Source organism: Homo sapiens, chromosome 1 (genome assembly GCF_000001405.40).
Source record: "Homo sapiens chromosome 1, GRCh38.p14 Primary Assembly".
NCBI lineage: Eukaryota > Metazoa > Chordata > Mammalia > Primates > Hominidae > Homo > Homo sapiens.
In genome coordinates, this window is record NC_000001.11 from 2,362,146 (window position 1) to 2,378,986 (window position 16,841).

General features: G+C 49.5%; 1 protein-coding gene across 3 annotated transcripts in view, besides 1 other annotated feature; it reads right to left on the bottom strand.

Annotated features, from left to right (window-relative positions):
* The window catches only part of MORN1 (MORN repeat containing 1), a 70,302-nt gene that overhangs the window by 40,893 nt on the left and 12,568 nt on the right, over positions 1 to 16,841 (bottom strand). For 2 of the 3 annotated variants that reach the window (NM_024848.3, NM_001301060.2), the window contains exons 7-8: positions 12,316 to 12,412; positions 10,336 to 10,446 (exon numbers count right to left, since the gene is read on the bottom strand). In NM_024848.3, coding sequence (NP_079124.1) covers positions 10,336 to 10,446; positions 12,316 to 12,412 — 208 coding nt within the window. Of the gene's footprint in view, positions 1 to 10,335; positions 10,447 to 12,315; positions 12,413 to 12,707; positions 16,836 to 16,841 lie in introns of those variants that run through there. The other variant, NR_125361.2, reaches the window with a different exon arrangement.
* Positions 13,090 to 13,284: a silencer, noted in NCBI's record as "fragment chr1:2306674-2306868 (GRCh37/hg19 assembly coordinates)". NCBI's record gives its function as "represses an EF-1alpha promoter that drives an FKBP-Casp9 reporter gene in an ReSE screen in K562 erythroleukemia cells {active_cell/tissue: K562}" and the evidence as "EXISTENCE:reporter gene assay evidence [ECO:0000049][PMID:32094911]".

The window sequence follows — 16,841 nt, forward strand, 5'->3', positions numbered from 1 at the left end:
CACTTGAACCCGGGAGGTGGAGGTTGCAATGAGCTCTGATCATGCCACTGCACTCCAGCCTGGGCGACAGAGCGAGACAACTCAAAATAAAAAACAAAAAACATATTTACTATTCATTAAGTGGAAGTGGATTATCACAAAGATCATCCTTGCTGTCTTCACATTGAATACACTGAGGAGGAGGAGGAAGAAGAGGGGTTGGTCTTGCTGTTTTTGGGGTGGCCAAGGCAGAGGAAAACCTGTGTATGAGTGGATCCCACAGTTCAAACCTGTTTTTGTTCAAGGGTCAACTGTACAGCTATAGAAGCCATCCCAAGTGGACCATCGAGGGAAAAAAAGAGTTAAAAAGAAAAAACAGAAGGAAGAAAGGAAGGGAACCAGCAAACAGTGGGACAACCTCAAGTAGCCCAATCATGGGTAACACATGGGAGAGGCTGTGCCAGAAAGATTACTGGAAGAAATAATGGTTGAAAAATTTCCAAATTTAATGAAAACACCTGAGGTCAGGAGTTTGAGACCAATCTGGCCTACATGGCCAAACCCTGTCTCTACTAAAAATACAAAAAAAATTAGCTGGGTGTGGTGGCGGGCGCCTGTAATCCCAGCTACTTGGGAGGCTGAGGCAGGAGAATTGCTTGAACCTGGGAGGCAGAGGTTGCAGTGAGCCGAGATCGCGCCATTGCACTCCAGCCTGGGTGACAGAGCAGAACTCCATCTCAAAAAAAAAAGAAACTAAAATCAAGATGTTTCCAGACATACAAAAGCGGAAAGAATTCATCACTAGCAAACCTGTACTACAAGAAATGTTAAAGATTAAGTCCTTCAGGCAGAGGAAAATGAGAGCAGATGGAAATATGGACCCACAGGAAGAAGCGAGAAGAACCAGAAGCCACAGCAATGTGGGTCAACAGAAGAGACTGCTTACTGTTTATTAAGTACACATTAAAACCTAAGTGGTCATTTAAATAAAAATAACAACGTATTATTAATTTTATTACATATATGAACATAAAATGTATGAAAACAACTGCATAAAATTGGGACTGGCAAAAAAGGTATATAATTGTACAGTTCTTACGCATGAAGTAGTATATTACATCTCTTGAAAATAACTGTGTCACAGCTTGCCAGGAGTAAAGAATAAAATAAAAAAGAAAGAAAGAAACTGTGGTAAGTCAAGATGTACCTCTGCTACCCCTGACACAGCAAGACCAACCCTTCCTCCTCCAATACATTTATGATGATCCCCTTTTACTTAACGAGTTGTAAAACCCTAAAGTAATCCCTCAAATAACAAAACAAAGAGTTATAATTAATACATTAACAGAGGGCCAGGCGTGGTGGCTCACACCTGTAATCCCAGCACTTTGGGAGGCCCAGGTGGGCAGATTGCTTGAGACCAGGAGTTTAAGAGCAGCCTGGGCAACAGAGTGAGACCTCATCTCTAAAAGAAAAAAAAATTTTTTTAAATTAACCAGGCGTGGTGGTGTGCACCTATAGTCCCAGCTACTCAGGAGGCTGAGGCAGGAGGATTACTTGAGCCCAGGAGGTCAAGGCTGCAGTGAGCTATGATTTCACTACTGTACTTCAGCCTGGGTGACAGTGAGACCTTGTCTCAAAAAAGAAAAAATCAGTTAGAAAAACAAACAAACAAACAAACAAAAAAATATATATATATATAAAAAAAATCAGAGATGATAAAATGGAATCATAAAAAATGCCCAATTCAAAAAAGATAAAAATAGATATAGAGGGGAAACAAACAGCTGGGGCAAATTAAAAAATAGTAAAATGGTAAATTTAATCCTACTGTGTCAATAACCATATTAAATGTGAATGGTATAAACAGTTCAGTTAAAAGGCAGAGATTGTTAGACTGGATAAAAAGCAAGACGACGATATGCTGTCTACAAAAAGTACACTTTAAAAACATAGGCAGGTTAAAAGTAAAAGGATGGATAGAGCTACACCATGCTAATGCTAGTCAAAAGAAATAAAAAGTGACCATATTAATATCACAGAAAGTAGATGTAAGAGTAAGGGCAGTTACTAGGGATAAAGAAAGTAATTTCACAGTGATAAGGGATCAACTGATTAAACTACATAAAAATCCTAAATGTGTATGCCCCCAATAACAGAGCCCCAAAATACATGAACCAAAAATTGAAAGAAAGAAAAGCAGAACATTTTTTCATGTGTTTTTTGGTGCATAAATGTCTTCTTTTGAGAAGTGTCTGTTCATGTCCTTTGCCCACTTTTTGATGGGGTTGTTTTTTTCTTGTAAATTTGAGTTCATTGTAGATTCTGGATATTAGCCCTTTGTCAGATGAGTAGGTTGCAAAAATTTTCTCCCATTTTGTGGGTTGCCTGTTCACTCTGATGGTAGTCTCTTTTGCTGTGCAGAAGCTCTTTAGTTTAATTAGATCCCATTTGTCAATTTTGGCTTTTGTTGCCATTGCTTTCGGTGTTTTAGACATGAAGTCCTTGCCCATGCCTATGTCCTGAATGGTAAAGCCTAGGTTTTCTTCTAGGGTTTTTATGGTTTTAGGTCTAACGTTTAAATCTTTAATCCATCTTGAATTAATTTTTGTATAAGGTGTAAGGAAGGGATCTAGTTTCAGCTTTCTACATATGGCTAGCCAGTTTTCCCAGCACCATTTATTAAATAGGGAATCCTTTCCCCATTGCTTGTTTTTCTCAGGTTTGTCAAAGATCAGATAGTTGTAGATACGCAGCGTTATTTCTGAGGGCTCTGCTCTGTTCCATTGATCTATATTTCTGTTTTGGTACCAGTACCATGCTGTTTTGGTTACTGTAGCCTTGTAGTATAGTTTGAAGTCAGGTAGCATGATACCTCCAGCTTTGTTCTTTTGGCTTAGGATTGACTTGGTGATGCAGGCTCTTTTTTGGTGCCATATGAACTTTAAAGTAGTTTTTTCCAATTCTGTGAAGAAAGTCATTGGTAGCTTGATGGGGATGGCATTGAATCTATAAATTACCTTGGGCAGTATGGCCATTTTCACGATATTGATTCTTCCTACCCATGAGCATGGAATGTTCTTCCATTTGTTTGTATCCTCTTTTATTTCACTGAGCAGTGGTTTGTAGTTCTCCTTGAAGAGGTCCTTCACGTCCCTTGTAAGTTGGATTCCTAGGTATTTTATTCTCTTTGAAGCAATTGTGAATGGGAGTTCACTCATGATTTGGCTGTTTGTCTGTTATTGGTGTATAAGAATGTTTGTGATTTTTGTACATTGATTTTGTATCCTGAGACTTTGCTGAAGTTGCTTATCAGCTTAAGGAGATTTTGGGCTGAGACAATGGGGTTTTCTAGATATACAATCATGTCATCTGCAAACAGGGACAATTTGACTTCCTCTTTTCCTAACTGAATACCCTTTATTTCCTTCTCCTGCCTAATTGCCCTGGCCAGAACTTCCAACACTATGTTGAATAGGAGTGGTGAGAGAGGGCATCCCTGTCTTGTGCCAGTTTTCAAAGGGAATGCTTCCAGTTTTTGCCCATTCAGTATGATATTGGCTGTGGGTTTGTCATAGGCAGCCAAAAAACACATGAAGAAATGCTTACCATCACTGGCTATCAGAGAAATGCAAATCAAAACCACAATGAGATACCATCTCAAACCAGTTAGAATGGCAATCATTAAAAAGTCAGGAAACAACAGGTGCTGGAGAGGATGTGGAGAAATAGGAACACTTTTACACTGTTGGTGGGACTGTAAACTAGTTCAACCATTGTGGAAGTCAGTGTGGCGATTCCTCAGGGATCTAGAACTAGAAATACCATTTGACCCAGCCATCCCATTACTGGGTATATACCCAAAGGACTATAAATCATGCTGCTATAAAGACACATGCACACGTATGTTTATTGCGGCACTATTCACAATAGCAAAGACTTGGAACCAACCCAAATGTCCAACAATGATAGACTGGATTAAGAAAATGTGGCACATATACACCATGGAATACTATGCAGCCATAAAAAATGATGAGTTCGTGTCCTTTGTAGGGACATGGATGAAATTCGAAATCATCATTCTCAGTAAACTATCGCAAGAACAAAAAACCAAACACCGCATATTCTCACTCATAGGTGGGAATTGAACAATGAGAACACATGGACACAGGAAGGGGAACATCACACTCTGGGGACTGTTGTGGGGTGGGGGGAGGTGGGAGGGATAGCTTTAGGAGATATACTTAATGCTAAATGACCAGTTAATGGTTGCAGTACACCAACATGGCACATGTATACATATGTAACTAACCTGCACATTGTGCACAGGTACCTAAAACTTTAAGTATAATAATAATAAAATTAAAAAAAAAATAAAAGCAGAAATAGGCAAATCTTTTGTTTGTTTGCTTGTTTTGAGACAGGATCTTGCTCTGTCACCCAGGCTGTAGTACAGTGGTGCGATCTCAGCTCACTGCAACCTCCGCCTCCCAGGTTCAAGCAATTCTCCTGCCTCAGCCTCCCAAGTAGCTGGGATTACAGGTGTGAACCACCATGCCTGGCTAATTTTTGTATTTTTAGTAGAGATTTTAGTAGAGATGGGGCTTCACCATGTTGGCCAGGCTGGTCTCAAACTCCTGACTTCAAGTGATGTGCTCGCCTCAGCCTCTCAAAATGCTAGGATGACAGGTATGAGGCACTGCACCCAGCAAGGCAAATCTATCATAGTCAGATATTTCAATATGCTACTCTCAATAACTGATAAAACAAGCAGACAGAAAATCAGCAAGGACATAGTATACATACATACACAGAATATCAATAATATCAACAAAATACATAGAAAAATACATAGAAAAATACATAGAAAAACACATAGAAAAATACATAGAAAAATACGTAGAAAAACAATAATATCAACAAAATTGACCTGATTTATAAAATATTGTACACAACAAAATTCACATTCTTCTCAAGTGCACACAAACTCTTCCCGAAAATTGAAGAGAGAATTTTTCCCAATTCACTCATTCTATGAGGACAGCATTACCTTGATAGCAAAACTAGACAAAGACATTACAAGAAAAGAAAATTTCATGCCAATATCCTTCACGAACAGGGATGCAGAAATTCCCAAAAAAACTTTAGCAAACTGAAGGACAAGATAATTCATTGCTCTATCAAAAAAAAAAAAAAAAAAGAAAAAGAAAAAAGGCCAGGCTTGGTGGCTTATGCCTGTGATCCCAGTATTTTGGGAGACTGAGGTGGGAGGATCGCTTGAGCCTGGGAGTTTGAGACCAGCCTGGGCAACATAGTGAGATTCTGTCTCTACAAAAAAAAAAATTACAAAAACAAACAAAAAGATAATTGGGGAAAGAATACTCTTTTTAACAAATGATCTTAAGACAAATAGATACCCACATTCAAAGGAATATACAGCAGTTGGACCCCTTCCTTACACCAAACAAAAAGATTAATACCGAACGGTTCACAGTCCTAAATGTAAGAGCTAAAAATATGTCATTTTTTTTTGAGATGGAGTCTTGCTCTGGGGTGCAGTGGCGTGATCTCGGCTCACTGCAACCTCTGCCTCCTGGGTTCAAGCAATTCTCCCTGCCTCAGCCTCTCAAGTAGCTGGGACTACAGGCACCCGCCACTATGCCCAGCTAGTTTTCGTATTTTTTAGTGGTGACAGGGTTTTGCCACGTTGGCCAGGCTGGTCTTGAACTCCTGACCTCAGGTGATCCACCTGCCTTGGCCTCTCAAAGTGCTGGGATTACAGGCGTGAGCCACCGTGCCTGGCCTAAAAATATAAAATTCTTAAAAGAAAACACAGGAGTAAATCTCCATGACTCCAGACTAAGCAAAGTCTTCATAGATATGACATCAAAAGCAACAAAAAGAAAAAGAGAGAATTGGGTTTCATCGAAACTTAAAACTTTTGTGTTTCAAAGGACACCAGCAAGAAACTGTCTGACTGCCCACAAAATGGAAAAATGTATTTGCAAATTAGATATCTGATAAGGGGCTTGTGTCTAGAATATGTCAAGAACTCTTACGACATCTTGATGCAGAGCAGGTGAGCTCTACAGCAGGGCTTAGCCTGTGAGGGTTCTTGGCTTTGGCCAGGGAAGGATTTAAGGGTGAATGGGAGGTATGGAAGCGGCAGGGCTACAGCTCCTGCAGAGCGGGGCTGCCCCCCAGGCAGAAAGCAGCAGCTCAGGGCAGTGTCGCAGTCATATTTATACCCACTTTTAACTGCGTGCAGATCAAGGGGTGGTTTATGTGGACATTTCTAGGGAAGCGGCAGTAACTTTTGGGTCATCAGGCCATTGCCATGGAAAGGGGTGGTAACTCCCAGGTGTTGCCATGGTGATGGTAAACTGGCATGATGCGTTGGTGGGCGTGTCTTATGGAAGGCTGCTTCCTCCCTGACCCTGTTTTATCTAGTCCTCAATTTGGTCTTGTGTCTGAGCCCCACTTCTGGAGTCAAGTTCTGCCTCTTATCTCCATTTCTCCAACTAAGATCTACAAATGGCCCATAGCACACAAAAAGATGCTCAACATCATTAGCCTTTAGGGAAATGTAAATCCAAACCACAAGAAGGCACCACTTCACACCCACAAAGATGGCTACATCCAAAAGACAGACAGGCCAGCACGGTGGCTCATGCTTGTAATCCCAGCACTTTGGGAGGCTGAGGCGGGTGGATCACAAGGTCAGAAGATGGAGACCATTCTGGCCAACATGGTGAAACCCTGTCTCTACTAAAAATACAAAAATTAGCTGGGCGTGGTGGTGGGTGCCTGTAGTGCCAGCTACTTGGGAGGCTGAGGCAGGAGAATCGCTTGAGCCCGGGAAGCAGAGGTTGCAGTGAGCTGAGATTGCACCACTGCACTCCAGCCTGGACAATAAAGCAAGACCCAGTCTCAAAAAAAAAAAAAGGCGGGGGGCAGTGGCTGATGCCTGTAATCCCAGCACTTTGGGAGGCCGAGGGTGGTGGATCAAGAAGTCAGGAGATTGAGATCATCCTGGCTAGCAGGGTGAAACCCTGTCTGTACTAAAAAAATACAAAAAAATTAGCCGGGCATGGTGGCAGGCGCCTGTAGTCTCAGCTACTCAGGAGGCTGAGGCAGGAGAATGGTGTGAACCCAGGAGGTGGAGCTTGCAGTGAGCCGAGATTGAGCCACTGCACTCTAGCCTGGATGACAGAGCAAAACTCAGTCTCAGAAAAAAAAAAAAAAAAAAAAGAAGACAGACAATAGCAAGTACTGAGGAGGGTGTAAAGCCATTGGAACCCTCTTTCATTGCTGGAGGTAATGTAAAAACCTTGCAGCTTTTCATGTTCAGACTGAAAAGGAAGAAGTAAAACTGTATTTATTTATAAACAATATGATCGTATATAGAGAAAATCTTAAGGAATCCTCTAAGAAACTAGTAGAACTAATAAATGAGTAAAGCAAGTCAAAGGAAATGAGGTCAATATGTAAAAATCAATTGTAGTCTACGGCAACCTCTGAAATGAAGTTAAGAAAATTCTACTCATGATGGCATAAAAAGAATAAACAAATTTATCAGCATTTAGAAATAATTAATAAAATAATTATAATTCAATATCTAATAAATAACATTATTATGTATTAATAGCTTTCACAAAGAAGTGCAAGATGTGTGCTGAAAGGAACAAGACGCTGGTGATAAAGTAAGAACTCTACCTAAATGGAGAGATGCTTCTGTGTTCATGAGATGGAGGCCTCAGTGTTGGTAAGATTTCATCTGGACATTCTCTCCAGAGGGGTTCAACGCACCTCCATCAACATTCCAGCAGCCTTCTTTTGTTGTTGTTGCAGAAGTTGGCAAACTGATCTTAAAATTTTATACAGAAATGTAAAGGTCCCAGCAGAGTCAAGATCATTTTGAAAAGGAAAAACAAAACTGGAGGACTCTCCAATTGGAAAACGTGCTAAAAGCAACAAGAATCCAGATAGCGTGGCCCTGGCATAGACTGAGGATAAATCAGGATAGACAGATCAGTGGAGCAGACGGGGGGTCCAGGCATCAACCCTGACTCTTAGGGCTGACTGATTTTCAACCAAGGTGCCAGGGCAACTCAACGGCAAAAGGACGGTGTTCTCAACAAATGATGCTGGGATGATTGAACATCCCCATGAAGAAAAGATGAATTTAGAACTTTATCTTTTCCATAAAAAATAACTCACACTGGATCCCAGGCCTAAATGTAAGAGCTAGAACTATAAGAGTTCTGGAGGGATACGAGAAAATCTTTGTGAAACTTGGGTTAGGCAAAGAATTCTTAAATACGGTACCAAAACTATGCTCCATAAAAGAAAAAATGGACAAACTGGACTTCAGCAAAATGAAAAACTTTTGCTGTTCCAAAGATAGCATTAGGCAAATGAAAAGATGAGCCGTAGGTGGACGGAAAGCATTTGCAAAGACATATCTGATAAAGGACTTATATCCGCAATAGGTAAAGAACTCTATAGCTAAAAATAAGAAGACAACCTTTTTTTCATTTTTTTTTCTTCTTTTTTTTTTTTTTTAAATGAGACAGGGTCTCCCTCTGTCACCCAGGCTAGAGTGTAGTGGTGCAGTCACGGGGCTCACTGTAGCCTCAACCTGCTGGGCTCAAGGGACTCTCCCAATTTCAGCCTTCCGAGTAGCTGGGACCACACGCATGCACTACCATGACCAGCTAATTAAAAACAATTTTGGTTTTTTTTTTTAGGGATGGGGTCTCACTATATTGCCCAGGCTGGTCTTGATCTCCTGGACTTGGCCGGGCACGGTGGCTCACGTCTGTAATCCCAGCACTTTGGGAGGCCAAGGCGGGTGGATCACGAGGTCAGGAGATCGAGACCATCCTGGCCAACACGGTGAAACCCCGTCTCTACTAAAAAAAAATACAAGAAATTAGCTGGGCGTGGTGGTGGGCGCCTGTAGTCCCAGCTACTCGGGAGGCTGAGGCAGAAGAATCGCTTGAACCTGGGAGGCGGAGCTTGCAGTGAGCCGAGATCGTGCCACCGCACTCCAGCCCGGGTGACACAGCGAGACTCTGTCTCCAAACAACAACAACAACCACAACAACAACAACACCAAGAAGAAAGATCTCCTGGGCTCTAGTGATCCTCGCACCTCAGCCTCCCGAAGTGCTGGGATTTTAGGTGTGAGCCACTGTGCCTGACTGATAGTCTAATTTTTAAAAAATGGGTACAATATTTGAATAGACATTTCTCCAAAGAAGATAAACAAACAGCCAATCAACACAGCGAGAGCCACTCATCGTCATCACTCGTTAGGGAAATGCGAATCAAAATCACGAGGAGCTATCACTTCACACCCACAGGGCAGCTATTACAAAAAGACACAATTCCAAGTGTTGGGAAGACGCAGAGAAATCTGAACCTTCATGCATTACTGGTGGGACTGTAAAATGCTGCAGCAATTTTGGAAAAACAGTTTAGCAGTTTCTTTAAAAGTTTAGGCCAGGCGCGGTGGCTCACGCCTGTAATCCCAGCACTTTGGGAGGCTGGGGCGGGCTGATCACCTGAGGTCGGGAGTTCGAGACCAGCCTGACCAACATGGCGAAACCCCATCTCTACTCAAAATACAAAATTAGTGGGGCATGATGGCACATGCCTGTAATCCCAGCTACTCAGGAGGCCAAGGCAGAATCACTTGAACGCGGGAGGCGGAGGTTGCGGAGAGCCGACATTGCACCACTGCACTCCAGCCTGGACAGCAAGAGTGAAACTCCATCTCAAAAAAAAAAAAAAAAAGTTCAAACATAAATCTACCATGTGATCCAGCAATTCCATTCATAGGTGCATACCCATGAGAAATGAAAACACATTCACACAAAAACTTGTATACACATGTCCACAGCAGCACTATTCATAACAGCCCAAGGTACAAACAACTGCGATGGCCAGCAGCGGATGAGTGGGGAAGCAGAAAGTAGCCCCTCACTAGAATGGAAGACTGTTCCTCCTAAAAAGGAAGGACACTCTGACACACGTGCACGCGTGCCCCCCCACACGTATACACATTCAGACCTGTGCACACCTGTGCAAGGCATACACACATATGCACACACATACAGGAGCACGCACATCACACAATATGTGCACACATGCTTGCACACACACCCAAGGCTGCCCTGACTGGCAGGGAAGCTGGCACACCTGCGACCTCTCTGCCAGGCTCTGGGCACGAAGTCACTGCTGTGCCTCAGGAGCCACATGCAACATCTCGTCCGCATCTTCACTGCTTAAGAACCTGCTGCCTGTTTCTCTTTTGGAAACGTTAGGTCATCTCCCCCTGGAGATGCTTACTCTTGGCAATTTCCCCGTGGTCCTGCAGCAGCTGAACGTTCACCGAGAAGGGAGACCCTTGGGCCACTTCCATCACCTCCGGACCCAAGATCACGATCCTCGTAGCTTGTTCTGGGAGAGGACAGAGTGTGGCTTTAGCGGTGACTGGCATGGTCCCCCACCCACCCCATGGCTGAGTCAGCAGTGGGCACCCCAGGAACCGACCAGAGCCCAGTGTGGCAGCTGGAACACAAGCACATGCGGGGGCCGACCCTCCGCAAACCACCTTGCAGAGCAGCGACCTGGGCAGTCGTCCACACTCAGACCGTGAGGCTCGGCTCTGCTGGCCTGGAGCACTGTGGAATCGAACCAAGTGGACCACCGGGGCCACGGAGCATGCAAGAGACACAAGTGGGCGGTGTGGGGCTGTTGGGTTTTCCTGCCCGTGGAATGTTCCCGCACGTCTTCCCGCTGGTCGGGATTTAGGCCCTGCATTCCCTGCATCTGAGTCAGCACCCTGAGGTGCTGGACCTGGGACTAGGGCAAGGCCTGGCAAGGGTGGGTCCACCGGCTGGCCAGTGCCTCCTGGCAGCCAGGGCCGCCCCTGCTCCACCGGGGCCTGCAGGGCATCGCTGTGGGTGGTGTCGTCACACCGCATCCTGCTGCCCACCGCCCCTGCCCCCACCTGCCATCCCTGACTCTCCCCTATGGATTGGCCTCCAGCAAAGCACAATGGAGGGGCTTTAAAAGCAGATGCTGAGAGAACACCTGGGATCTGAGGCTGCCTCAAAAGGCAGCACAGGCGATGCCGGGTGCACAGGGTGGCGGGTGCCCCGGACTTCATGGTAATGGTGGGGCTGGGGAAGGGCCTGAAGCTCTGGCCCCTGTGGGAGCTCCTGCTGTGTTCTGGGGGCAAAGCCAGAGCCCACCTTGGCTCGGAGGGAGACCCTCCTCGGGGTGAAGCCAGACTGCGTCCTGCACCTCTTGCCCCGTTTTTCCCACCTAGAAATTTCAACAAGGGCCAAGAGACTTTTTTGGGAGGAGGGGCTGGGATCTGGATTCTTTCCCTTGAGGTGAGGTCACCAAGACACTCCTGGAGGGCTCTGCTGAGGATCCAGGGGCCCCTCACGGAGACTCCACCTGAGGGAGAAGCACCTGGGCCGGGACCCAGGCTCGGCCTCCATCCCAGGATCCCCTGCAGGGTGCACTGTGTGCGTGCGGGTGCTGGGACCCACCTCTCAGTGCTCCCCAGGCACCTGGCCACTCCTGCCTTCCCGAAGATCTCAGCCTCCACGAGGAGCCCGGGGCCAGCGGGTCTGTGCTGAGGGCAGCAGTTACTGTCACCCGTCACCCCTGTGACCTCTCCCAGCTAACAGGTCTTGGTCCCCCAAGGTCCTCCAACCCAGGAGGTATGTGTGGGGCTGCCTGGGCTGAGACCTTGCAGGTGCCCCGGCGCAGGGCCAGAGTCGGTGCTGGCGGCACCTGCACCTGTGTCGTGAACTTGGCCCCGAGGTTTGGATGAGTGTTGTGTCCCTGGCTAGACTGACCCCTGGGGTGGCACCCTCATCCTGGAATCTATTGAGAGGCCACCCAGAGGCCACCAGGAACACCATGGGGAGAGGGAGGGTGGCTCGGGAGGCAGCCCCCAGAGGAGGCCCAACTGGCTGGTCCTTCTGTGAGCCGAGGCCACCCTGTGGCCACATCACAGTGCAGAGGGCTCAGGGAAATTGGACAGAGGCCACTTGGGGGACAGCGCAGCCATGACGAGGCCACCCCCAGACACTCAGGCCCCAAGTCCGGGAAGCCCCACTTGCAGCAGGACCACTTTTGACATCAGATTAGAACATGTTTTTCCTTAAAAGGGGTGGGGTTTTATATTCCACTTTGCCCCACCCCTCCCCAGTGTGCTCTTGGTCAGTGTTTCCCATATGGCTGCCCGGGGGCCAGGGACACACCCCACAGTGGACCTCACAGTGCCCACAGGAAGGCAGGGACACCTACCTGCTGGGTGGCCATTGATCCACAACCCATAATAGGTGACCCCTGAGCAGTGGGCCATGCTGCCCAGTCCACTGAAGACGTCGCTGTGCCACTGTCCCTGCAGAGAGAAGGGTGAGGCTCAGGCTGGTGGCTCCCAAGGGGCTTTTGTGGGTCCCCGCATGGCACTGCAGCTTCCTGGTGCTACAGCAGGGCCCCAGGACCAAAGGCTGCTAGAAAACCACATCGTCTCGAGGGTCCTTGCAGCCTGTCCCTCGGTGGTGAGAAACTGTTTCATTAGAATGCAATCCAATTTGCTTTGCAAAATATACTCCCTTTGGAATTTTAACGATGCCAGGAGGTATGGGAACAACGGCACAGTATATAAAATGCAAACAAAACCTCGAAGGGGCACATTTCAGCAAAAAAAAAAAATCCTTTTAATACAAAGATATTGTGTTTGTGGCATGTATCATAAAGGAGGCCTGAACCCGCAAACTGGCCGACTGTGGCGTTGGGATTAAGGTGCCCTGCTTGTCCGTTACACTGTTCATTTATACATGAAGAGGCCAATTAAAAAACACAGTTTGAAAAAATGTGCCCGTGAGCTTGGGAGAAATGCCTGTTCGCTGTACACCCCAACTCTGCCTCCTTCATAACAAGCCTGGTTTCCAAGTCATACAACAAAGCCTGGGAAAATCATGTGAAATAGCAGGGTGATTATTTTCATGGAAAATTTAAATGGTATTTCATTTGACTCTGAATTACTTCTATTAGAAGAAAAATTAACCAAAGGCACGTTTTGCTTCTGTTCACTCTCTGGCAGGAGCCAAGTGGGCTCCTGCTTCCCTGCCCGGCCCTCCCTGGGTGCCTTTCCCAGGGGAACCCCGAGGCAGCGGTGGCAGGTCTGCAGGGCGCAGCGTGTGCCTTCTGGGGCTTCTCCACGGATCCTGGGCCCTGGGATGTGTGGGAAGAGACAGCGAGGGCCGAGGGCCAGGGCTGAGGAGTGTGGCAGATCAGGGACAAGTGGATGGCGCTGGAGCTCTCTCTGGCTGCAGGGAGACAGGGCCTCTGCAGACAGTCCTGAAGGCGACTGGATTGCCCCAAAGGCCAGGGAGAGCCACAGTACATGAAGGGCTGGGGCAGGGTGGGGGCAACTCACAGCTGCTGGCTGGGAGCACGGCTCACGCCTCCAGGCAGGGGGCTCCGATCCGAGACAACTGGCAGCCCGCGTGGGTGCCCGGAGGCAGCAAAAAGGCAGCTCTCAGCTTCAGGAGAGGCTGGGCAGCCAGCTCGGGGTGCCAGGTGGGCAGAGGCCCGGCTGCTGTCTGGACAGGGCCCTTGCTCCTGAGGCTCTTGTTCCTCCAGCTCCCAGACCCCAAGATCCCAGCCAGCACCCACCCGGCTGCATTCCTGCAGTGTTCCAAGCTGAGCGCACCACTGACGTCACCCCATCGGCCTAGACAGTTGCCCTGAAGATCAGAGTCCGGTTCACCGTGCCACCCTGGGCTCTGGGCAAGCACCATCCACACTGGCAACTACAGTGGATGGGGGCCCCAGAGCTGACCACATGTGGGGTCAGGTGAGAGTGGTTCTGGGCTTCAGCTACCAAGGACTGGCGCAGAGTCCATGGGCTGCCCTGACTGCTGCTGCACGGCATGCCTGGAGGCCATGCCATGCCCTGTTGGAGGCCGTGGGCACCCTTGCATCCACAGAGCACCTCCCCTCAGCCTTGCCCCCTCAGCTCTCTGTCCTATGACTCCAGACGTTCCCACCAAACTGGGTGAGAGTCCAACGCATTTGATTGGCATCTCTTGAGGGTCCCTTCCTGGGACCATTGTCCTCACTGTCTCTCATCTCATTCACGCTGGACGGGGAGAGGCGCGAGTCAGCGCACAGCTGAGGGCTCTTCAGGGCGTCCGGGGCCCCCGTCACCGTCAGTGATGAGAATGGCGATGTCTGGTCTCTGCCCCCTTCCACCTGCTCGGCCTCTGGAAGGTGCCCCGGGCTTTCAGGAGGAGGGAGGTGGAGCTGCGGGGCAGGGCTGACACCAGCTGCAATATGGCGTCCAGGGTGAGTACCCAGTGAGGCTGTGGCTGGGCAGGGGAAGCCAGACACACTCGAGTCATGAGAAATGCAGAGGTGCAGAGCCCGCCTTTGGGGTGAGTGGCTCCTCCCATGGTTGGTCTGGGGCTGCGGCTCACGTATGTGGCACGAGCCTGCCTGGCATCCCCCTCCCTGGGTGCGCAGCAATCAGGTCAGGGCTTGGCATCCTCGGTACCCACCGCTGGTGTCCGGGTGGGAGGGCTGAGCCAGGCAAGCTTTCATGCAGCACTTGGTCAGTCCAAGCACATTTGAGTGATCAATTCAACTGATCCAATAGCCCGGTCTTGTCTAATTCACGTTATCAATCACACCTTTGACAATTCGGCTGTTTCTGTTTCATGTACCCCAAGCAGGAACGAGCAAGAGCTTATTAAATAGGGTGCAGGGGAGGCTCCTGATCCTCCTGCTGACGGCACAGACTGGGACACTGAGAGTCCTGGAGCAGCTGCCTCCCACCCGGGCCTCAGGGAGCACCCAGGCACAGTCCAGGCCGATGCCCAGCGTGGAGAGTTACGTGCGGGGCCTCAGCCACACACAGGCTGGGACCGAGGAATGGGCATTTTGCCACCTGCTCACCCTCCTCCTCCCTGCTGGGCCACTGCCTGGCACCCAGGTGAGCACAGGTGTGCGGTACGGGACACGGGAAGGTGGTGGTGGTCACACGACCTTTGGGGAAGGGCCACTGGGGTCCAGGTCCACACCCAAAACACAGAGGCAAACAGCGGTTCCAAAGTCAGGAAGCAGTCGTGCAGGATGATGGTGACACACATACGTCCCCCTCGGTCACAAAGGCGACCCCAGGACCACAAGGGTGTCCTCTGTGAGGGGCCCTCCCTTCCCTGCCCAGCCGGGTGGCAGAGCACTCAGGAGGCCCCGGGCAGTGCTCGGCTCTCCCCAGCTCCCAGCACCACTCAGCCGAAGGCTCACACCTTCCCTGATAGTCGACAAGCTCGGACGGCTCGGCTGGTGCAGGGACTGCTCTGGCGCTGGCCCACTCCAAGCAGCCTGGGGCAGAAGAGGTTGTGAGTGCTCTTCTTTCTCCCAATGGGAAGCACTTCTGGTCCATTCATGCTGTTTTCTTTCCATGCTTTATTGGAAGCTATGCCCTCTGTTTTCAGGCCCTAGTCAGGCATCCACCCTCCCCTGGCACCATCAGGCACTTCCTGCCTCTGGCCCTCCTGGGGGGGTCCTGGGTCTGGTGCTCCTTGGGGTTCAACAGCCCTGGGAGGTGGGGGTGAAGAGCAGGGGCTCCAGCTTTCCCCAGTGTTGGCCTCGAGGGTGCTGTGGTCTGGAGAAAGTAACCCCCAACCATTGCCAAACCTTGGGCATCAAGAGACGGGGCCTTTGCTGAGGTTCACGGCCTGGTGCACCAGGTGGGGGCTCCGAGGACCAGCTGCCCAGCCCCCTCAGGCCACGTCATGAGTGAGGAGCCTGCCGGACCCTTCTGCCTGGGCCCTGCGACTGCTCAGGGGCTGGTGTGCCTTGGTGGCACGGGTGGGGCTAGCTCTGGTTTCTGAAGACCGGCCATTTGCATCACTTCATGGTAACAGTGAGGACCAGGGGTCCTGCATTTGACCTCGCTGGTCCCATCGCAAGTGCCTGGGCTTCAAGGTGTGAACTGTGAGGAGTTCCAGAGGGGACATGGGGCCTGCCCTAGTGTAACCCTAGTGCTTCCATGACGGCCCCAACAGCCGGCCCCCTCCTCTGCCCCAGGGTGGTGGGGGGTCCACATGAGGCAAGCCGGCCAGACTCCCCACAGGCCATGCGTGCTCAAACACCCCAAATTATCTACATGATTCTCAGTGTTACATGCACCCCAGGAGTCCCCCACTGGCCCAGGCTTCCTGGACTGTGACCCCTGGGTCCAAGGGCAGTAGGCCCAAACGTGGAGGCTATAGGCCCCGTGGAGGCCCCCGGTTGGGCATTCCCACACACGCCCAGCTGAGGAGAGGAGGCTCGGGGACTGCGGCAGGCAAAGCCGCCCAGAAGGAGCCACCTGCTCCGTGCAGTGAGCAGGTGCTCGGCACCCAGCGGCAACTCCGGGAAAGCTGGCGTGTGAGACAGCCAACACTCACGGCGCAGCTGATACAGCCAGGGATGCCCGGAGGGCCGCGCTGCTGCCAACATGGGTAGGAGACACTCTGATGTGCACACACACGTGTGGCCTCTACTCTGTCTGCTCCGTCTCCCACCGAGGATGTTCTGGAGGACGTGTGGGGCCTGCCCAAGCCCTCGGGTCCTGGGAGGTCGAGCAGTAAGCTGTAAACTAGGAGTGTGGGGGACGGAGATGGCTGAGGCGTCACAGGCTGGTGGGGGTGCTCGTGGCCCAGGACCTCTGTGGCTTCCGGGACCGGCCTGAGCCGCGTGGCTCCTGTCCCTGTGGAAGAGGAGCCTTCTCTGCTTTGGGATCCGCTGTTCTTATTTTCCGTCAGAAGAAGCTGTAA